General features: G+C 36.9%; 1 protein-coding gene, 1 long non-coding RNA gene and 1 other non-coding gene across 3 annotated transcripts in view, besides 3 other annotated features; 1 reads left to right on the plus strand and 2 right to left on the minus strand.

Moving 5' to 3' along the window:
- RAD21 (RAD21 cohesin complex component) overlaps nucleotides 1–16,152 on the minus strand; it is a 28,843-nt gene extending 12,691 nt beyond the window's left edge. The window contains exons 1-4 of the mRNA NM_006265.3: nucleotides 15,987–16,152; nucleotides 7,962–8,137; nucleotides 4,506–4,635; nucleotides 3,217–3,316 (exon numbers count right to left, since the gene is read on the minus strand). Of these exons, the coding sequence (NP_006256.1) occupies nucleotides 3,217–3,316; nucleotides 4,506–4,635; nucleotides 7,962–8,105 (374 nt within the window). The 5' untranslated portion in view covers nucleotides 8,106–8,137; nucleotides 15,987–16,152. The remainder of the gene's footprint in view (nucleotides 1–3,216; nucleotides 3,317–4,505; nucleotides 4,636–7,961; nucleotides 8,138–15,986) is intronic.
- Nucleotides 15,460–15,509: a silencer, noted in NCBI's record as "silent region_19473". NCBI's record gives its function as "represses an Ori minimal core promoter by ATAC-STARR-seq in GM12878 lymphoblastoid cells {active_cell/tissue: GM12878}" and the evidence as "EXISTENCE:reporter gene assay evidence [ECO:0000049][PMID:35858748]".
- Nucleotides 15,670–15,989: a silencer, noted in NCBI's record as "silent region_19474". NCBI's record gives its function as "represses an Ori minimal core promoter by ATAC-STARR-seq in GM12878 lymphoblastoid cells {active_cell/tissue: GM12878}" and the evidence as "EXISTENCE:reporter gene assay evidence [ECO:0000049][PMID:35858748]".
- Nucleotides 15,800–18,244, plus strand: RAD21-AS1 (RAD21 antisense RNA 1). The gene is made up of 2 exons (NR_033886.1): nucleotides 15,800–16,361; nucleotides 16,797–18,244. It is a non-coding gene; the product is annotated as an RAD21 antisense RNA 1 (long non-coding RNA).
- Nucleotides 16,100–16,149: an enhancer, noted in NCBI's record as "active region_27832". NCBI's record gives its function as "activates an Ori minimal core promoter by ATAC-STARR-seq in GM12878 lymphoblastoid cells {active_cell/tissue: GM12878}" and the evidence as "EXISTENCE:reporter gene assay evidence [ECO:0000049][PMID:35858748]".
- MIR3610 (microRNA 3610) lies at nucleotides 16,104–16,176 on the minus strand. The gene has a single exon (NR_037404.1). It is a non-coding gene; the product is annotated as a microRNA 3610 (primary transcript).

A 24,115-nucleotide genomic window follows, 5' to 3' on the forward strand; every position in this document is an offset into this window, starting at 1 on the left:
TAAGTGATTTGGAAATTAACTTGTATTTAAATTTGAAAAGCATCAATAATCAGCAAATACAATGTAATATGCAGAAGTCACTAAATCAAGTACAGAGGAAAAAATTAGAAATCATGGGCTAGATAGGCATGGGTTTTCATTAGGACCCTGCAACTTACAGGCGGTGTAAACTCTAAAGTTCCCTGACTTCCCTGAGACTCAGTTTCTTTCTCTAATAAAGAATAATCTCTCATATAGTTTAAAAATACTAAATAAAAAATAAAAAGTATGTAATGCTAAACACCAATCTAAACACTATCAGCCATATCCAGAACATTAATACCTCAAAACAACTGACCAAGTCTGTACAAAAAATAGATGGCAAGGAAAAAAAAAATAGGAGGCGGCAAAGCTGTAATAGATTCTCAGGAGACCCATAAGCTATATCAACCAGATGCAGTTTGTAGACTTTGTTTAGCCTCAACTCGAACTGGGAGAAAAAAAAAAAAAAAAAAGCCGACATGTCAACTGGGGACATTTGAATGCTGACTGGCTATCATATAGGCATACCTTGTTTTACTGCACTTTGTTTTACTGAGTTTCGCAGATGCTGAGTTTTTAACAAACCAAAGGTTTGTGGTAACAGTGCCTTAAGCAAGTCTGTTGGTGCCATTTTCCAACAGCACAAGCTTACTTCATGCCTCTGTGTCACATTTTGGTAATTCTCATGCTATTTAAAAATTTTTCATTATTATATTTGTTATGGTGATCTTGATTAGTGATCTTTAAAATTTTTTTCCTTATTTTTTAGTAGACATGGGGGGGCGGGATCTTACTATATTGCCCAGGCTAGTCTCAAACCCCTGGCCTCAAGTGATTCTCCCACCTAAGCCTCCCAAAGCACTGGGATCATAGGTGTGAACCACTATACCTGGCCCAGTGATCTTTGATGCTAGTATTTTAATTATTTTGGAGTGCCACAAAGGATGCCCAAATAATATGGGCAAACTTAATCAAGAAATGTTCTGTGTGTTCTGACTGCTCCTGCCCTCCCCCACCCCCGCAATGTTTCTCCCTCTTCTTGGGCCTCCCTGTTCCTTGAGACACAACTACATTGAAATAAGGCCAATTAATAACCCTACAATGGCTACTATTTGTTCAAGTAAAATGAAGAGTCACATGTATCTCACTTTAAATCAAAAGCTAGAAATGAATAAGCTTGGTGAAGAAGGCATGCCTAAGCTGATTTAGGCTAAAAGCTAGGCCTCTTGCACCAAACAGCCAAGTTTTGAATGCAAAGGAAAAGTTCTTGAAGGAAATGAAAAATGCTACTCTAGTGAACATGAATAAGAAAACAAAACTACCTTATTGTTCATATGGAGAAAGTTTCAGTGGTATAGACAGAAAGTTTGGAAGAAATTAACATTAACCCTGATGCATGACTTTGAGGGGTTCAAGACTTCAGTGGAGGCAGTAACTGCAGATATGGTGGAAAAAGCAAGAGAACTAGAATTAGAAGTGGAGCCTGAAGGTGTAACTAAATTGATGCAATCTTGGAATAAAACTTTAACAAATGAGGAGTTACTTCTTATGGATGAGCAAAGAAAGTGGTTTCTTGAGATGGAATCTACTCCTAGTGAAGATACTGTGAATATTGCTGAAACAACTACAAAGGGTTTAGAATATTCCATAAACTTGGTTGATAAAGCAGTGGTAGGGTTTCAGACGATTAGCTCTAATTTTGAAAGAAGTTCTACTGCGGGTAAAACGCTATCGGGTAGCATTGTACGCTACAAAGAAATCTCCCATGAAAGAGTCAATTGATGCAGCAAACTTCACTGTTGTCTTATTTTAAGAAATTGCCGCAGTTACCTCAAACTTCAGCAACCACCACCTGTATCAGTCAGCAGCCATCAACATGGAGGCAAATCCTCCACCAGCAAAAAAACTGCAACTTGCTGAAGGCTCAGATGATCACTAGCATTTTTTTGCAGTATTTTTAAGATAAGCTCACTGCTTTTTTAAACATAATGCTATTACTGCACACTTAATAGACTACAGTACAGTGTGAACATAACTTTTATAGGCACTGTGAAACCCAAAAATTTGTGTAACTTGCTTTACTGTGGTGGAACCAAACCCACAGTATCTCCAAGGTATGTCTATATTAAGGAATAACTGATAATTTTTTTAAAGGTGTGATGGGTCATGGAGGCTTTAAAAATTCTTTACCTCTAAGAGACAAATATCGAACTATTACAGATGAAATAAGATTATTGTTACTTGATTTAAAATAATCTGGTGGGGGTTGTGAGGTAAGCTGGGGAAACAGATGTAATAAGACTGGCAATATACTTGTAACTTAAAAAGCTGAATAACTGACATATAAGGTTCATAATCCTAATTTCTCTAGTTATTAGCTATGTTTAAAAATTTCCATAATAAAAAATTTTCAAATAAAATGTCAAAAAGAGAGAAAAAAGTAAAATAGCTAGATAGAGCCTAGAACTAATCAACACACATGCAGTAACAAAATAGGTCATAACTTACTCTAATTAGAAGCCACAGATCATTTCAAAAAGCAGAGAAATCTGTAATGGTGTAGAGTTTCTTGGTTGTCAGTTATGCTAATAAGTCACTTGGAAAGCTACAGTCACGTTCCAACATCATGGCATGATAGCTGGATCGTAAGGGCTTGAGAAAAGGGAAACATAACTACAGTACTCTGCTATAACAGCCATCTCTGTGTAACTCTCTCCTCTCAAATGTGTGTCATGACAATGACCCTTTGTTGCTCTTCATAAAAAGTTATCTCGTATGTTCATTTAAAACAAAAATAAAAACAAACCAGAACAGAATTATGGCTCTGAGTATAGCCTGGCCAATCCAGTAGCTGACTTTAATATATAACTCTGAAAAATATCATGAAGCAACAGTTTACATTCCCTGCTATCATTATATAACAAGCGTATCTGTTTCAGTTTACGTAAGCTTTGGCCTAAGCTTGTCAAAACTCTCACATCTTAGCTGTGTTAAAGCTGACATCCACATGATTTTCTTACAGAAGAACAACTTTCTAGGTTTTATGTTCCATATTTATATACTATCCTATATAAATATATATATGCATTTTAGCTGTTAATGTAAAACATTCCAAGGAAAACTATACATTTGGAAGCTAATACTACTGCTTATTGCAGACCAAGTCAACAATTTTTTTTAAAAGAAGACACATACTCTAAGTCAGGCAGTGGCTGATCAAAGTCATGAAATTCTTCAGGTAAAGTAATGGCATTATAAGCTGCTTCCCGATTTTCCTCAGGCAGGTCAACCACACCTAGAAAAGAAATGCTAAGCTTAAATATCTAGCTACCCATAAATTATCTAGGGATCAGAGGGAGATAAGTAGGTATAACTTCCTAAGTTTATATTCTCATAGAAAGGTTGATAACATATGCAAAATACCTTGAAGCACAAGTACTTCTCTTTTTCCATGCTCATAAATTGTATTCCTTGCTTTAGGAAAAAGTCAAAGCACTAATTATGCATTAAGCTCATAAATGTTTAAACGGACATATCAACAAATAACTAGTAATAGTTTCCTAATTAAACATGATATTTATGAGGGGGAAAAAGAATAACTGCAGAAGAGTACCTTAAATGTTAAAAGGAGCTGGTTATTTTGGAGAAAGAATTACACAATTTTAATTTTCTTTATCTTTTTCCTATATTTTTCAAGTTGTCTATAATAAATATGCCTTACTTTGAAAGACAAAAAAAAGCATGTTATTTAGATAAAATGTGCTTATTGGTCACATGTTAATTTAAGTATTGTAGTCTTTTTCTAAATATTTTACTTTTAAATAAAATCTTAGATCTCAGACATTTTACTGTTCACATACTGACATAAACTGAAGTACTAGAATGTATCCTCAGTAGAAACTGTTTAAGGCATTTCTTAATAAAATACACATTATTTTAATTAGAATAAAAATTTCATCAATGCTTTTAAAAATTATAGAAAGATATGTGAATTTAAATATTAATTATCTTCTTAGATGGTGGTGTGGTTGGCAGACTCCAGTTTTATAACCAATCATTACCTAAAACAAAATAACAAAAAACTACGAAGAATATTTACTTAGGAAAAAAAGTTTAAAATCCTAAAATTGTCTTTTCTGAGCTATATTTTAAAAAATCATCACATAACAATTAGTTTCCAACATTTTAACCTCTTGATGACTCAAGTCTATGTAAGCTGCTGAAAAAAGTATTAAAAAGGCAGCTCCAAAGGAAGAACAAATGGGGGTGAGCTCCATTACTTCACAGGGAGAACAGACGCAAGTAGGTTTCCTCCCTTGAAGCACTGCCTCCCCAAGCCTTGCTCTATCTTTGAAGGGTTCCTCGTATTTCAATTAAAACAAAGCATGTAGATTTAGAAAATGTGTTTAGCTACAGTAACACAAAAAACATGAGAAACTCCAAAGTAAACAACAACAACAAAAACCAAACAAGTTTAACAATACCTGGCCGAAAAGCCATCTTTATCTTAATGAATGCTTCATTACAGTCTGCAAGAAGGTATTTGGCTTTCCTGTGATAGATTCGAACTACTCCCAGTAAGAGATGTCCTGATGTCCGTAATGCCATTTTCACCTATGAATAAAACATTAATCATATTCCAAAACCTGCATTTCGTGCCATTCATAGTCTTCTTTTTATCTTTTTCCTTTAAAGTTGCCTTATAATCACATACATTTCTCTGTCCTTACCTATAAATTCCCTGAATATCGAATATCCTGAAAAGACAGAGTGACTGGAAATTCACGAATTAACACAAACATGAAGGAAGCTAGGAAGCAAGCACTAAACCATTCCATGAATTGTGTCATTAGCACATTAAGGAGCACGTAACACTTTTGGTTGCCAATCCAGGGCCATTGTTTCTTGCTAAGTCAATTCTGATTTTGTTTGAGAAGCAAATGTCCCCCACATTGACAGATGTCTCATTCCTCTCTGCTAATACCTGTTCTTCAGTGGGCATGAAACACAGTTCAGCCAATTGAGTAATAGGTGAAGTATGCCAGAGAGTTTCTGAGAAAGATTTCCCCCCCAAAAGAACAACGCCTCTCTTCCTTCCCTCTTTCCTGCTTTGTGAATAGGTAGGGCTTGCTTGGTGCTTCATGCAGTCACCCTGTAAACCACAATGCTAAAGTATGAGGACAGGAAGCTAACACACTAAGGATGGAGAGTTCTTGGATGACATAATCAAGCTGCTGGACCAATCTCAGATCTCCCTGTTTCCAAAATTTTAGTTAATTAAGCCTGTTATTTCCCTTATTGTTTAAGCTACTTTTTAACTAAGTTTCCATTAATTGGAAAGCATACCGATTTAAAAAAAAAAGTTTGGAAAGCATACTAATTGATAAAGAACAATAGTATCCATAGCTTTTTTTCACCAGAAAATATACTCCCAACCTTTTTTCGAGGCAGATCTTGATCAACATTAACATGGGATACAGTATGTGGAAAAGCAGTAGTTGATAAAACAATGAGATAAGACTCCATCTAAACACAAGTATTCAAAATTCCTCTAGCCATAAGGAAAATTTACTGAAAGAACAAGGCAATATGAACTCAAACATCCCCAGATACTTTCCCAAACCACGCCATAAAGCACAACAAGTTCTAAGGTAACAAAAAAAGCTTTTAAACATTTGCTTAATGTTTAAATTATGATTAGTATATTGTTATTTGTAAAAGAAAATGTTGTATTTTAAATTTTATGTGTATTTTCTACAGCACTCTAGGACCCTACTTATGACTCTCAGGTTCTGTATTTATGAGCATTTTATGTGACTTACAGCATAAATGATGATGTATATGGCCATACATTTTTAGACATCCAAAATTATACCAAATTTGTGATCAAATTCAGAATTTATCAGACAATGAATCCCTAATTTTAAAAAAATTCAAAGTAAAATGTTGCTCCTAATGGAAAAACAGAATCTATTTTTATGTGGTGTTATAAAATTTAAAATTAATATTGATTGAACCTTCACCTAAGAACAAAGGAGGGAAAAAAAACCTCTGCTATTATCTTATCTAGAACTAGCAACTTTCAAAAAGTGGTGTTTGGGCAAAAGCTTTCTTTCTGGATTAGTCTGGTTCAGAGTTTAGCCTAGGAGTAGGTAAAATGAGGTATGGCATATGTTTTTGAGCTAGTGTGTGTTAAAGTGTAAACATAAATATAATAAAGATTCCAGGCTACATATTCTGGGAAAGCTCTGCAAATAGGGCCAGTGGTTCTTCCAGTGGGGGAGTGGAAGAGAGAAGAGAAAAAGTATGCAAGCTTGCAGTTGCAAATGAGCCACGTGTGACACTTATGCTAAACAACTAAACTGACATTTTCACAACAAGAACTGCACACCAAAGCAAACATTAGAAATTTCAGGCCCGTTCACTCTGTGGAAATATCTTTACATCCTGTTACCAAATAGATAAAAGCTCAGTTAGAAATGGTTTAAAAAATTTGAAGAGAAATCACTTTCTCTCATAAACACATTACAATCTTTTACATTATTCCTGAACTGTCTGCTTTCCTTTGTGGCTGTTCGTGTATATGTTCAATTATCAGATTGTCTCATACTCGTTTGTAGTGTCCCTAAAGTGGCACAAAGTACTCGGTACATATCATGAAAAAAATCTGTTATCCTTTTAAGCCACTCAATATTTGCTTACGGATGTTAAAGATTAGCCACACATATACTTTCCAGAAAGGAGTACGATTTCTACGTTTTCCATTAACTTATCCCAGTAAGCATACCTATAAAAAAAATTGAAAATACCAATGTTCTCATACAATTTGACCAGCAGTGCAAACTGGTATGATCTCACCAGAACAAACTGTTAGTGCATATCACAAATCTCAAAAACATGTCCATCACTTGGCCTATCAATTATAATCCTAAAAATAAATCTTAAGAAACACTTAAGGGCGTGAACAAACATTTAACAAGAAATGTTTACTAAATGGCTAGTCTTTAAAAAGAAAATAAAACAACCTGTAATCCTACCATCTACAGAAATCTGTAATAATCTTTTGGTATGCCTTCTAGGCTTTCCTGTGTACATGTACACAAGTTTTCTTTGTGTATATACATAAAAACTAACACAATGATTGTTAGAAGGCTGCATCCAGGAAATAGAGCAAAACTTACGAAAAGGCACAGATTTCTTATAAACACCCCCTTCCTCACACACAGATAATCTTCCCCACAATTGACACCTCCCATCGGTGTTTCATTTATTAAAATCGATAAACTTATATTAACACATCATTACCAAAAGTCCGTAGTTTACATCAGGGTTCACACGTGGTGTTATACATTTTATTAGTTTGTACAAATGTAAATGGCATTTAACTATTATACTATCATGCAAAACAGTTTTACTGCTCTAAAAAGAATAGTCTGTGCTCTGCCTACTCAACCCTCCATTCTCTCCCCAACCTACCATCTTTTTACTGTCTCATTTGTATAGTTTTGGCTTTTCCAGAGTGTCCTATAGCTGCAATCATATAATATGTAGCCTTTTTAGATTGGCTTATTATACTAAGTAATACGCATTTACAGCACTTCCACGTCGGTTTTTTTTTTTTTTGAGACAGGGTCTCAAATAAAAGCTCCTCTGAGGAACAGATCAGTAAACAATATTTGGGCATTGCCCTGACTGATGCTTATTTGCCATTAAAAATAGGCAAATCAAAATATATGCACTTAGAGATTTTTTTTAAAATCTAATCTGTAATCATATCAAGTCTATCTAGAGGTGATAAGGACTTCACATAATAAAGAAACATTTCTAAGGATTTTCCTTGCACTCCAATGCCCCTACCTAAAAAAACTGTTTTAGAAGTTCTATTTCACATATCAATAAACAATCAACAAAGTGAATAAAAATGTCAACATCAAACATACCTTTGGTGAGATGATACTCTCCACGCTGCTCTCTAAATTACACTCGAACACATGGGCTTTGGTTAGCTTCTTATCCCAATGGGCCGCTAGCCAAATTTTGGCCAGAGGCCCTCTTTTACTGAGAACAAAATGTGCGTAGAACATTGTTCTGGCTGGCTATGAAAACAGAAGAAAACCTAAGAGGGGAAAAAAAAGTTAATGTAAACATCATCTGACAATTTAAATACTTATCAAGACATAAGAAATTTAAAATTTTTCTTCTCTCTTTAATATGAAAACTATAAAATGCTTGAGTAAATGTTTAATATGTATTTTAAAAACAACAGATTTAAAACAAATCTATTGTTTTAATTTTGAGAGAGGAAAAAAAAATAGACCCCAAAATACTAAGAGCTGAAAGTAAAAGGGACAAGAGTCAAATTGCTTTCATGCCTTGTTTCATTTCTATCTTGATTGACAGTAGAAATAGTCTGTTTACTGGCCAAGAGCTAGAGAATATATTTTTCATGGCAAGAAAAGAAAATCTATGAAGAAAGATACTCAGGCACAGATAAAAATCTGTGGAAATTTCCATTTTTAGAATGCCATTAAAAATCGCGATTCTGGGATAAATTATCTGTAAAATTGCTACTACACGAAAAGTACTGTACTAAGCATTTCATATTCCACCAAGCAAAGCTAAGCAGATGGGCTGGCCCCATTTTACAGGTGGGTAGTTTAGAAAAATCGAAGTTCAAAAAAGGTAAAGAATTATATATATAGTTTTCTTAACTTAAGAACTTACAAAGCATTTATCTACTTATAATTTAAATATTAAATCAGGGACAATGGTACAGCAGATTTATCTTATGACTGAAAGTCTTGGAATCACAAATATGTTACTGACATTCTACTTTCCTTCAGCACTCTAATGTATTAAGAAAGGCCGCTTGAAAACCCCAGTTCAGAAGAGTACATTAACTGCAGGATATTTCCTTTATATCATTTAATTCCCCTCTTTCACGGATTTAAAAGAAATCTACTTCAGAGAATGAATTTCCAGATTTAAAACAAATCTATTGTTCTGATTTTTTTCTAAAATGTCCACGACTAGAAAATGATATATGCCTTGCTTTACAGAAATAAAATCAAGTGCATGTACAATACATAAAATTTTAATTTGAAATAGAGTCACAGGGAGTCATAGATAGCAGGTCCCATGTACTTTTTTAAACCTAGTTTCTCCCAATGGTGACATCTTAAATAACTACAATATAGTATCAAAACCAGGGCACTGACATTGATTCAATGTGTCTACAGACTTTTATACCATTTTGTCACATATGCAGATGTGTATAATCACCACTGCAAAAAGATACACAGCTATTCCATCACTACAAAACTCATCACATTCATCCCTCTCTCTCTGCCATTTCTAAGTCTTGACAAACACCACCTGTTCTACATTTCTAATTTTGTCACTTTTTTTCTTTTAAGAGATGGGGTCTCATTCTGTCTCCCAGGCTGAAGTGCAGTGATGTGATCACAGCTCACTGCAGCCTTGAACTCCTAGGCTCAAGCAATCCTCCTCCCTCAGCCTCTCAAGTAGTTGGAACTACAGGCATTGAGTCACCACACTGGACTTAATTTTGTTGTTTTGAGAAAATTATATAAATGAATCATATGGTATGTGACTTCTTGAAATGGCTTTTTGGATCTAGCACAATGCTTCTGTGATCCAAGTTGTTACGTTTATCAATAGTATATTCCCTTTTACTGTTGGACAGCATTCCGTGAGATTCATATACCACCATATGCTTGGACATTCACCTATAGAAGGACATTTAGTTGCTTCCAGTTTTTGGCTATTACAAATAAACCTGCTATAAATATTCATGTACAGACTTTTGGTGAACATTAAGTTTTCATTTCTCTAGGACAACTGTCCCGAATGTGACTGCTGACAAGTATTGTTAAGTATATGTTTAGTTTTTAAAGAATCTTTAATACAATTATCAAAATGAGTTTTTTTATATTTATAGGCAAGATTATCAAATTTATATAGAAAAGCAAATAAACTAAAAAAGCTAAAACTATTTTGAAAAATAGTGAGAAAAATTAGTCTATTTGATTTCAAGACTTACTATATAGCTATAATACTCAAGATTGGTATTAGCAGAGGAAACACAGTCAATGTAACAGAACTGAGAACCCAGAAATAGCCCGCACAACTAAGTTCAACTAATTTTTTTTTTTTTTTACAAAGATGCAAAAGCTATCTAATGGAGAAATGATACATTTTTCAACAAATGGTGCTGGAGTGATTAAATACGATCTGAAGACCAGAAAACATGCACGCACGCACGCACACACCCCCCACAAAACAAAAAAGGCAAGGAAAAAACCCTCCACCTAAATCTCACACATTATATAAAAATTCAAAATAGACAAAACTTTTAAAAAATGGCAGAGGGGAACCTTCAGTACCTAAAGCTTGGTAAAAATTTTGACACATCAAAAACACAACCCATGAAGGAAAAGTTCTTGCTCAATAAACTCGCCTTTATCAAATTAAACTTTTGCTCTACGAAAGAAATGCAAAGACAAGCTATAGACTGGGGAAAAAATATTTGTAAACCACACATCTGACTAGAACTCAGATATAGAATATGTAAAGAATTCTTAAAACTTCAGGGGTAAGAAGAAAAAAAAACTCCAATTAGAAAGTAAGCAAAAGAGGCCAGGCAGGCTGGCTCATGCCTGTAAACCCAGCACTTTGGCAGGCCAAGACAGGCAGATCACTTGAGGCCAGGAGTTCAAGACCAGTCAGGACAATTTGGCAAAACCCTGTCTCTACTAAAAAACACAGAAACTGCTACGTGTGGTGGCATGTGCCCGTAATCCCAGCTACTCAGGTGGCTGAGGCAGGAGGATTGCTTGAACCCAGGCTGTGGAGGTTGCAGCGAGCTGAGATCGCGACACTGCATTCTAGCCTGGGTGACACAGCAAGACTCTGTATAAAAAGAAAAAAAAAAGTGAGCCAAAGAAGAGAAATTTCACAGAAGAGGTTTACTGATGACAAATAAGAACATGAGATGTTCAATTATCCTAGGCATTTGAGAAATACAAATTAAGGCCAAAAACATTATCACCACACACTTAATATAAGAGCTAAATTAAAAAATAGTGGCAACATCAAATGCTGAAAGACACAGAGAAGCTGGATCTCTTACACTGCAGGTGGGACTAAAATCTCTTGAATTAGCTTTTCTCTAAAAGATACAGAGTAATTATTTTTCATTTTTTCACAGTCTGTAAATCTTAAAGAATTTTGCTTACTGTACTTTCAATTAAAAATGTGCCAATTCTTTCCCATGATGTAGAGAAAATATATTTTAGTTACGCGTATCACAAGCAACAGATTTCTTACATGTCAAAAATATTTTGGAGGGTGGGGGGCTGTGGTGCAAGACTACTGCAGTCAGGTTTGCTTTATCTCCATTTCCATCACTTAAGAGTAAAGAGTCTTGAAATTCTCATTCTCTGAATCTAATGTTCCCAAAGGATTATTAATTCATACTAAAAAAACTTTTCCTCAAAAGAAAAAAAACCAGGCTTTGTCAACTGTCTAATGTTGTAAACTCTTCCTCCCAAATTTGGAGTTAAGGAAGGAAGAAATTGGCTAGCGGTGGTGGCTCACGCCTGCCATCCCAGCCCTTTGGGAGGCCAAGGTAAGAGGAATGCTTGAGGGCAGGAGTTCCAGACCACCCTGGTCAATATAGCAAGACCCCGTGTTTATTTTTTAAAAAAAAGAAATTAAAGAATGAAGAAATACTATATTCTATACTAAGAACTCAGACAAAATATTCTTAAGGTACGAGCATTAAATAACACCTCAAAGGTGCTTTATTTGCCATTTGTTATTTTATAGATTAAAACATGCTTCCCATACCGGAAGAGAGCCTCCTATGTTTCAAATCAGTGCCTACTTCAAGCCTTAAAATGTTATCACAAAACTTAAGCTGCTCCTACTATGTTATAAATAAAATCTAGAGAACTTTACAGAAATCCAACATAGCAGCATGTTCTGAGAAATATAATCGCTGTTGTACAGGACAAGCCCCAAGTTCCACTATGGAAGCAAGCAACTGTATCCTAAACAAAAAACTCCTTAATATTAAGCTTCTAGAATACTATCTGTGGCATGACAATTACTAAATATGTGCTTAATGAATAAGTAAGTAAGATCCACCAAGTGATCTCATAATTGGCATATGTAAAAAATTTTAGACGTTTTAAAAATTAAAACTACTGGCATTTTTCAACAGGTGTCAGTAGCTCCTGGCCAGCACTTCAGCTGCTGGTCAGAGCACCGTGCCTAAAATATCCCAGCTATGCAGAGGCAGAGATTCCTAAACAGAAGCCTGTTTGGCATAGGATGGGGCTAAGGAAGGCAGAGTGATGCTAAAATTAATGTGGGAAACAATTAGCAAGAGGAAATCACTCTAATAACTAAAGGAAGCCAAAGGAGCAGTGGTGGATCGACTCCTGGTGTATATCTGAATAAGGAGAAAGTGTAATTATAATTGCCTTTTAAGCCTATTTTTTTTTCCTTGATAATACCAAACTTCATCCAATCTTTAAAAAAGTCGATTAATCTGTTTAGATTTTGAAGATTCTATATTCTGCTAAATCCTTTATGAAAACCCTGTGCAGAAAATCTGCATTTGATACCAGAGCACAACTTAGCATTTCATGATTTGAGAATCATTTTTTTCTAAAGCGGCAAGCAGTTTTTTTCAATTGACCCTAAAAAATTAAAGTCTGATGTGAAACAGCAGAAAGATTGCTATTTTAGAACATATTCAAGAATACAAAAAATGGCAATTTAAGACTGTTTCAAAGAATCAAACTGAGGCTCATGCTTCTAGGATAGTATCAGTCATTACCAATATTTCACTCATTAGAAAGCATGGCAGGACTGCGGTTGTGTAAATTGGTACTGTCCTCTCTGAAGGACAATATGACAACATTTTATAAAAATTTCACTTACACTTTCTAGCCAGAACTTGCACTTTCAGTAATCAATACAAAAGATATACTTGGAGATGCATATTACTAAAGACAAAACCAAAAAACCAAACACGAAAAAATCCTAAGAAAACTTACTAAGCACTACGTGTTTTATGTATCCAACCTCTTCATGACTGTCCTACAGAAGTAAATTACTGGCCCATTTTAGAGATGGAGAAAACAGATGAAGATAAGTAAATGTCACTAGTATTTAATGGAAGTGGAACTTGAACTTCAGAATCCACACTTCTAACTACAACACTATGCTGCCTTGCCAGAGCAGAACAGAACATTCGAAATAACCTACTTGGCCATCAATAAGTGATATGAAAAATTAATAAACCCAAACAACGGAATATAGTCGGTCCTCCTTATCCATGGCTTCTTGCATCCATGGACTAAACCAACCCAGGATCAAAAATTGTTGGAGGGGGGGACAAAAAAACACAATAATAAAAAATACTACTAATAAAAAACTATAACAACTATATTAACTATTAACATAGCATTTACATTGTAATATCATAAATGGAGATGATTTGAAGTATATGGGATGTTAGTAGGTTATATGCAAATACTACACTATTTCATATAAGCGACTTGAGCATTCGTGGTTTTGGTTCTGGAACCAATTCCCCTTTAATATCAAGGGACAATTGTACAGTACAACTTTAAACAAGAATACAACATTTGTACTAACATGGAAAATCTCCAGGTTAAGTGCAAAAAAGTTGGAGTTTTAAAAAAGAATGCTCTTTCTCTATATATTTACGAGTTCTTGAATAAGCTTAAAATACCTGTGGCGTACACATGAAACTGGTGATACTGGTTACCTCTGGAAAGTAGGTATGCAGGGCAAGTGAGGCCTACCTTTTTGTACTGTTTGATATATATATATACATACACACACACACACACACACACACACATATTTTAACTCGGGACATAAATGTACACCACCTATTCAAAGTAAAAACTACTATCTCAGAAGTAAAGACATAATCCTGCTATTGTCATTAACTAGCAGTTAAGCTGCCTAACCTTTATGCAGTTCAGTTTCCCTACTATGAAAACCTGAAAGGTTGAAATCTGGTGGTTTACCTAACCTTTGAAAACGTCAATACCTAACTCAGATCAGAACGGAGCTACCTCTTCAGGGGAGTAGGGGGAAGGATCTCTGAAGATATTTCTAACCCTGCACACTAGAAATCTCCTCTGTTTTGGTTCTAACATCCTTTGACCAAGAGTTTTACAATCAGACAGTCGTAGGTTCAAATTAAGCTCCCTCTTTGCTCAGTTGTTTTGTAACGGTGAATAAGTTACTTCTCAACTATAAACTGGGATAATATTCATCAAAAAAGATTATGAAAATTAAATACAAGGGCACACCTAACATAGTGCCACTGCTGATGCGAAAAGTAACTCTGAAGACAATCTTGCAGCAAAACATTAACCAGCCAGTATAATCATGCCTAACAACTCTGGTTTGACATTTAAACTAAAAACACAACCTTATTTCTCAAGAATTAGAAAATTTCCATTCTGTACCAAACTGTAAAAGCGTTTCTTAGAATTTGTATGTTTCACAAAATAATTCACCAGAAATTCTTTTGTAATTCTGACTTGTGTATAAAAAAAAGCACTATGTCTATTAGTTATGCACTGCTGTCACCTCAACTATACAAACTGTTAACTTATTTGAAGATCAGATATGGCGTATGTCCTCATCAATGCCTTTCCAAAAATAATTAGTTGCCTCCGACATTAACAAAGGTATTTAATGACTTCACGATTTGAGAAACCTTCTCCTGCCTGTCTCCAAAATTCTATAGACTCGCACTGCCCGCTGGCATTTACACCCAATTTAAGAAAATAGAAATTTTTGCCTGAAAACCAATTACTCTTCTAACCAGTATAATGACAACAAAGATTAACTTTCCCTTGCAAAAAGAAGCCGATAAACACAAGCCTTTCCCAGAAACTCTTCGCACAAACGCTGTTTTTTTTTTCACGCTGAAGACACTAACAAATCAGAGTGACCAAGTAAATCCCCCAGGGTTTCCCTCTTACAAATTTGAAGAAGGCCGCTAAGTCTGGCAGCACAACCCGACAGTGTCACCCCACACTATCAAAGCGGATCATTCGCAAAAAGCCTTTTTCAGCGACGAAAAGGGCATCAAGCATTTATCAGAAACACACACCTCCCCCAGAGCGTCTCTACAACACCCGATATCCTTAATCACTTTAAAGAATGATCAGAAAAGTTCAGGGGAAAACCAATTATGCAAATATCCTTGGAAAAAGAAGCAACTTCCCTCCGTCTCTTTTTCCACGCGTCTGTGAAATATTCAGCATTCCCAACGTAAAAATTATCTTTTTAAAACGGGAGGGCAGCAGCAGTCACTGGCCGAGGGGCACCCGCCGACCCCCCGCCCCACCCCGCCCAGCCCCACCAGCTCCGCACTTTCTTGAGCCCCGCACCCGAGTTCGGCGGAAGGTTGCTGCTCCCGGGGCTGGCACCGCGGGCGCCGGGCCCGCCACCGCCTCCTCCCAGACAGCCATTTTTACCCGCGGAGTAGGCGGCCCGGTCCCCAGAGCGGGCTCGTTCAAACCTCCTCCCCTCCCTCCGCAGCCCAGGGTTTCCCCGGCCTCCTGGGGGACGTGAGATGGACCTGCAGGGTAACAGCCTTTGTAGATCTCAGAATGGATCAGAATCATTTGTTACCGAACAAGCGATGATGCGGGCCCAAGCTGCATGGGTCCGGGCCGAGGGCGGGCCCGGGGCGAAGGGGGCTGGGCGGGTGGCGCCGCCGCTTGGGCGCCGGGAGGGTGGCAGCACGCGTGGGCGCGGCGAGGGCTGCCTTCTCCCTCGCCCTCCCGCCCCCAGGAGTCCGGCTCCCCGACGGCAGAGCGGCGGGGAAAGGGTGGGGGGAGGGAGCTGGAGGAAAAGAAGGGGTCGGCCGAGTCTCTTACCTTGCTCTCCGCTGGGAGTTGGGCGGGCTGGGTGGCCCGGGGAGGGGAAAAGGGTCGGGGGAGGGGGTGGGGAAAGGGGGGAGCCCTTGCGAGGTGTAGCTTCCGAGCAGCTCCCGCCGCCGCCACAGCCGGCGCCTCCTTTCCGATTCACTCAAACAAACAAGATGGCTGCCGTTACGCCGCGGCTCTTCCTGCCGCCCAAATCCTCGGTTCAAATCGGCAGGATGTTTACGGTCAAAATGGTACCTGTGCGCCTGCGCAGCCAGCCCAAGCCCCCCCCTCCCCCCAGAAGGAGCGGCGCAGGCGCAATGACTATTTCCTTTTCTTTGGAACCCGCCCTCTGTTTGTGGAGTCCACAACTGAGCAAGCGCAAAGGTGATTCTCTTGCGAGGGTCTTTGAGAGTTGCGGTGTTAGCCAATAGCGTAAGATAGCGCACGCGCAGTGCTTTCCAGTGCGGTGAATATTTGCGTTTAGCTTTATTCTTGTGCTTGTTTTAAAGAAAAAAGCTGTCGTGGTGCAATTTTGTGTGCCCCCACCAAAAAATTCATTTTATGGCTCTATAGGGATGAAAGTAACATAAAAACCTCAAACTAATTCCATAAAATATAGAGGTTCATTTATTCAGTCAACCTATATTATAGAGGGTCTTCTGTTTGCTACACGTTGGGCTCTGGATATAATGATTAATATAACAGAGATAATAACTGCCTTTTGGAAATTTTCAGTATTGCTTGGGAGGAATCTTAAAATTTCTTATCTTAAAAGACTTACTTGTACCACGAAGAAATTTACTTTTGTTTTTATTGTAGAGATCTTTCCAGTGATGAAAGAAATTGAAGAGGACACACAAAAATGGAAATATATTCCATGTTCATGGATTGGAAGAATCAATATTGTTAAAATTTCCATACTACCCAGAGCAATCTACAGATTCAATGTAATCCCTATCAAAATATCAATGACATTCTTCACAGAAAGAGGAAAAAAATCCTAAAATTTATATGGAACCACAATAAGACCAAGAATAGCCAAAGCAATCCTGAGCAAAAGAATAAAGCTGGAGGCATCACATTACCTGACTTCAAATTATACTACAAAGTGATAGTAAACAAAACAGCATGGTGCTGGCATAAAAACAGACACATAGACTAACGGAACAGAATAGAGGACCTATAAATAAATCAATACATATACAGTCAACTAATTTCTGACAAAGCTGCCAAGAACATACGTTGGGAAAAGGATGGTCTCTTCCAAAAATTGTTCTGGAAAAACTAGATAACTATATGTAGAAGAATGAAACAGATCACTATCTTTTGCCATATTAAAAAAATCAAAACAAAATGGCTTGAAGACTGGAATCTAAGATTTGAAACTATTGAAACTACTAGAAGAAAACGTTAGGGAAATGCTCCAGAACCAAATATTTCTTAGTAAGACCTTAAAAGCATAGGCAAGCAAAGCAAAAATGGACAAATGGGATCATGCCAAGCTAAGAACCTTCTGCAAAGCAAACAACAAAGTGAAGAGACAACCCATCAAGTGGGGGAAAATACTTGCAAACTACTCATCTATCACAGAATTAATAGCCATAATATATAAGGAGCTCAAACAATATAATAGGAAAATAATCCAATTAAAATTGAGCAAAAGACCTGAATGGTTATTTCTCAAAAAAGACATACAAATGGCCAACAGGGATATGAAAAAATGCTTAACATCACTAATCATCAGAGAAATGCATATCAAAACTAGGATGAGGTATAATCTCATCCCAGTTGAAATGGCTTTTATCCAAAATACAGGCAATAATGAATGCTGATAAAGATGTGGAGAAAGAGAAACACTCGTACACTGTTGGTAGGAATGTATGTTAGTACAGCACTGTGAAGAACAGTATAGAGATTCCTTAAAAACCTAAATATAGAGCCACCATATGAGCCAGCAATCCCACTCCTGAGTAAATACCCCCCCCCAAAAAAAAAGGAAATCAGTACATCAGAGTGGTATCTGCCCTCTCACATTTATTGCAGCAAGATTCACAATTGTCAAGATATGGTATCAACGTAAGTGTCCATCAGTGGATAGATGGGTAAAGAAAATGTGGTACACATACACAAGATAATATTTTTCAGCCATAAAAAAGAAAAAAAGTCCTTTCATTTGCTGCAACATGGATAGAACTGGAAGACATTAAGTGAAATAAACCAGGCACAGAAAGACATTAGTGTGAATGTTCACACTAATATGTGGGAGCTTAAAAAAAAAAAAAAGAACTCATTGAGATAGAAGGTAGAATGATGGTTACCAGAGCCTGGGAAAGGTAGTGGGGAGGGGGCAGATGAGTACAAAATCTGCCCCCTCAGATTTGGTACAAAAATACAATTAGAAAGAAGGAATAAAGTCTAGTGTTTGGTAGCACAATAGGGAAACTATAGTTAATAACTTACTATATATTTCAAAATAACTAAAAGAGTGGAATTGGAATGTTTCTAACACAAAGAAATGATAAATACTTGAGGTGATGGATACCCCAATTACCATGGTTTGTTACACATTGTATGCTTGTATTGAAATGTCAGACGTACCTTATAATTGTGTACAACTATTATGAATCCATAATAATAAAAACGTATTTTAAAAAGAAATTTTGTGTCCAGTTTCTGAATGTATTTTCATTTTAAAGTAAAACACACAGGAAAAGCAGACATTTAAGTCCATATACTCCTCATTGTCAGCAACCACTACTTCTGGACACTTCCAGGATTTTAATGACACACAGAACACCTCACTTTTACCCTTCTTATGCTGATATAGGAGATGGATAAGAAAGTGGACAGTCTTGTGCTCCACTCACTGTGGGTCCACTGTTTTTGGGTTGGGGCAAGGTTCGTCTCACTGGCTGGAGTCCATTAGCTAAGTGGCCATACTGGCCACAGCTCAAAGCTTTATCAAGTGAATTTCTGTTGTAGTTAGCCAAATATTTTATGTTCTTTTGGTTTGTTTTTAATGGAGACTTTAAGAAATTGGCATTAAGGATAGTTGTTAAAATCCCAAGCTGGGGAGTGAAGGAGTACAAGCACTTTTAACATTTTAAGCATGCTTTCCCTCGACCAATATAGATTAGATGCTCAAAGCACTTAAATCCTTCCTGCTGGTGTGGCTTTAAGCAAACTCAACAGTGGCAGTTGTTGCATCATCTCAAAAAAAAAAAAAATACAAGCTCATTAACAATTAAACTCCTTGCAACAGAAATTAGATTTCTGCCAGTGAACAATTTAATTCTTCACTTCAAAATAATTTCGGTGTATCAGCTGCTAAATGACCTCAAAACTAATCATGTGGGAAAAGTCTCCTGTCAGGTTAAGAATCACACAACCATGTTGCATGGTGAAGACGTTGTCGTTCATATTAAATTTCAGTTTAAATCAATCCCAGCTTCAAACTATGGCCAGGTGAATATGCATTGCCACTTCTTGTCTCTCTTATATTACATTAGCTTTTAGAGTTTTTGTTCATGGAACCATATATTTTTCATCTGTATTTGAATAAAAACAATTCTCTTTTCCTCATTTCTAGCAGCAAGTCTGATTCTAATATTTAAATCAACAGGCTTACCTTTTTCTTAAGACATTTATTTTTCTACTTTTGGGGGATGGTTATGAACATGGGCTTTGGGTTCAAATTCTTCTCTTCTACCTCCCAGCTGTTTTAACATGTACAATTAATGTCTGAGCTTTGATTTCTTTATTAATAAAATGAGGGTAATACTTGTCATGATGTTTGAAATAATTCAATAGGATCACATACACAAAGTGCTTAGTATAGTGCTTGGAACTGAGTAATTAATAAATGGCAGGTATTACTCTAGTTTTATCTGCTTTCTGAATAATAAGATATCAAGCAAGGTATGGGAAATATTTATCAGATATTCAATTTATAAGAACATCAGTAAACACCGGGATACTCTGCCCCATTCTGACTATATCCTGTTTTATGTTTATATTTGAAAATTATTCTCTCTCTCTCTCTGTCTTCTCTCTCCTCTCTCTCTCTGTCTTCTCTCTCTCTTCTCTGTCTCTCTCCATCTTTCTCTTACATGCTGTTCTCCTACCCCAAGTTACCTCCCAAAGTACTACATTTCTTTTCTCTTGAACTATTTATTCTTACTCAGAGCTCCCAACTCTGAGCCCGCCTTCCCATTTGTAGATTTTAATATAGTTTCTTCACATACAGTCCTAATCCCCTAAATGGCTGGATTTGATTCTTTGAACAAGTTGTATGTTTTATTCTGGCTTGGAGTCTCCTCTTATCAACATACCCATCCACCTCCTTGTATTAAAATGTCAAGTTAAATTTCTTATTGCAGGAGTTAGCTGCAGTATCTCTTCTCCCTGGAAATACTTATCTGATGAATGTGCATTTGTCAAAATTAGTAATTGTGAATTTGTTTGACTAAAACCATGAGAGGACAGATTTCAGTTACAGATTTTGTCTTTCTTCAGTTGCAAATGGTATGCTTTCCTTTTCTGATTAGTCAGTTGATGACTTGTATGATTTGGGGAAATCACTGAGAAACTGGGTGTTGCCACTGTCTTGAGTATATCTATAAAAACAGCTGCGTTCTGTCTATATCACGTTATTTTATGATGACACCCCCCCCACACACACAACTGAGAGTTTTTTTTGTGAGATAAAAACTGTTATGGCAAAAAAAGAGAGAAAATATACTGTTATAGAAAAAGATGATAAAACTTACAGTAGCAGATTTGTTTAAGATTTACATATACTGTTGTAGACTTGCTCCTCTGAACTGGCAAACTTTTAAAACAGGATTCTCTATAACATTAAAATAATTATAGAATCCCAGCACTTTGGGAGGCCGAGGTGGGTGGATCACAAGGTCAAGAGAGCGAGACCATCCTGGCCAACATGGTGAAACCCCGTCTCTACTAAAAATACAAAAATTAGCTGGGAGTCGTGGCACATGCCTGTAGTCCCAGCTACTAGGGAGGCTGAGGCAGGAGAATTGCTTGAACCTGGGAGGCAGAGGTTGCAGTGAGCTGAGGTCATGCACTCCAGCCTGGCGACAGAGGGAGACTCGAGTCTCAAAAAAAAAAAGTATTATTATTATTATAGTAAGTAGGAGGAATTAGGTGAAGAGAAGAATAAGACAAGAAAATAGATATTTCAATGTTCGGGAGGATGGGTATTAAACATGTGGTGCACCAGGTTTTTAAAAATTTTTATTTAAATAAAAATCAAAGTATAAAATATGATGATCAAAGAAAAGTTCAGAAAGAGTGAATAGCCTTTTTAAGGTTTTGGGCTAAGCAAAGAAAAATGGACTGAAAGTGACTTTAAAAACTGTAGATTCTGGCTTTCCTTCTAGTGCCAACAGTATCCTTACAAGGGGTTTTGGTCAAAAAGGGAATGCATTTTAAGGACAAAATTCAAGGAAGAAATGTCATAATCAGACATAAACATTATATGAGATGTAGGGGAATTAAGGACAAAATGTCATTATTTGAAACAATTCCTAATTCACTAGATATTAATTAAATTAGTGATAATAGTGTGTGCATGTGTGTGAGAGAGAGAGAAAAAGAAAGAGAGAGAGAAACCGAGAGAAAGAGTTTTGTAAGCCTTAGAAAACATAGGTTTCATTCACAGTCACATCCTCAACTTCAAGCAGAAGCTGAGGTTTGAGTTTTAACGTTTGAGCTGAGGTTTGGGGTTTGAGGCAGGACTCCAGAAAGCGGCTGCAAGCATCCCTATTATGGCTGGGCTAAGGGTCTGCTCACGCAGGTATGTATCAGCAGTGGAAAATCACCAGGGGCCAGGAGTGGGCCCAGGGATAATAGGGGGTAGTCTCTGGGCCAGATGGAAATGTGAGTTTATCAAGGACCGAAGTGGAGATGAGGGGAAGCCTCAGAGGCAGAAGCTGGGTCAAGGTCTTATGTTAATCACTTGGACTTCTCTCAGAAAATTTCATTATGCTAATATTTCAATACTGGGAGCATTTTTAACTCTAGCTGGGAATTTTTCTCAGTGAGTATTTTGATGCATTTCCTCTATTTTAAAGCCCATCATATCTTCCACAATTGTGCCGCATCTTTGAGAATAATGAGTGCTAGCTGGATAGGTAGTGTGCACCTGTAGTCCCAACTACTCAGGAGGATGGCTTGAGCCCAGGAGTTCAAGTCCAGCCTGGGCAACATAGCAGACCCCCAGCTCCAAAAACAGAAAGAAAAAATAATAGTTGCTTTCTAAAAGCAGAAGGTTAGTGTTTATTCTGAAATCCCCTCGCCATTCCAGAATGCAGACATTTTTGTTTTAATACAATATACATTGTTCCTTTGATTCTGTGAAATTGCTTGGAAAAATTATTGGGAAAACTCAGGAAAAATAGGGTTGAGATAGATTTCTTAAAACCAATGCAACTAACAAAAGTGCTAACAATCCTAATAAAAATTATTAAATATATGTTAAATTGCCACCAATCAAGGAAATAATATAGCAAATATAGTACTTTTACCACAAAGAAGGTGAAAGTGCTTGGAGAGAAGGGTGTAACAAAAGGTAGAAGTTACTGAGTTATGAGAAAAGAGTCAAATGCAGAGATTAAGTGCTTGCTGCAGTAAGCAGTCCAAAGACACAACATGGAGATAAAGTGAGCCAAAAGCTAACTTGAAGTGAATGGGCACTATGTGCAGTCCTTTGTTCTCTGTGGCTAGATGCTCAGCTGTGTTAATGTGTTTTACATGAACTTGATGGGATCAAAAAATTAATGTGCTGGGAAACACAAAGTTACAAAGGTAACTTCCATGCCGTTTGGAAATCATTCCCCTATTTGTTAATGACATATGAGGAATTAGTGTTATTATAGAAACTCACACTGCAACTTAGTACCTAAGACTAAATTTGGGGTTTTATTATCAGTGAGATCTGATATATTTATGGTAGGGTGGTAGAGAGTGATATTTCTCCACTTATAATGGGCTATTTACCTTGGGGTCTTGGCTAAATCAGGTTAAAATTTAGTAGTTTGGGGTGGGGCTGGGGAGTCTGCTTTTTTAACAGCTTCAGGTAATTCCAAGGCTGCCACTATGGGGACCACACTGAGGATTTTTCTTTGATTTAATTTTAAATCATGTTTAATTTATTTTTATTTTCTTTTATTTATTTTATATTAATTTCTTTATTTTTATTTTGTATTGTTCTCTAACCCTCGTAGATGAAGAGGATTTTTGAAAAATAGACTTTGGAATCAAGTAGAACTTGGTTTGCATCATGGCTCTTCTATCTAGTAGCTGTGTAACCTTCAGCAAGTTGCCCAACCTCTCTAAGGCTGAGTTTTCTTATTTGTAAAATCAGGTTAATTGTATCTACCACCTCAGTGCTGTGTTGTTTATGTCATGCAATGATGTATATAAAGCATCTAGCATAGTGTTTAGCATGTTATGTGATCTCAGTAAATAATGGTTAAAGAGCATCACTCTTTTGCCCAGGCTGGAGTGCAGTAGCAATCACAGCTTACTCTAGCCTCGACCTCCTGTCTCGAGTGATCCTCTTGTCTCAGCCTCCCAAGTAGCTGGGACTACAGGCATGCACCACCATGCCTGGCTAATTTTTCGTAGAGACAAGGTCTCACCACGTTGCCCAGGCTGGTCTCAAACTCCTGAGCTCAAGCAACCCTCCTACCTCTGCCTCCCAAGGTGCTGGGATTGTAGGTGTGAGCCACCATGCCCAGCTCTAATCACACACTCATTTGCCTCAACATATTTACTATTTTTTTCCTCCTGAAATGTACTTATTCTCTCTTTTCTGAATCGATCTTTATTCTATGCTGAGTTCTATGGCAAAAGCTGAGAATTGTTTCCCAACATCTTTGTTTTTTTTTTAGTTTTGCACATGGCACCCAGCTAAATGATTACATTTTCCAGTGTCTCTTGCATATAGGTGTGGCCAAGAGAATATGTTTTACTCAAATTTTATGTGGGCATTACTAGAATATATCTACAAAATGGAGCAACCTTTCTTCTCATTCTTTATTTTGCTGCTTGGAATATAGATAAAATGGCTGGTGCTCCAGCAGCATTTTGGGCAATGAAGACAAAGGATAAGC

Source organism: Homo sapiens, chromosome 8, assembly GCF_000001405.40.
Source record: "Homo sapiens chromosome 8, GRCh38.p14 Primary Assembly".
Lineage (NCBI taxonomy): Eukaryota > Metazoa > Chordata > Mammalia > Primates > Hominidae > Homo > Homo sapiens.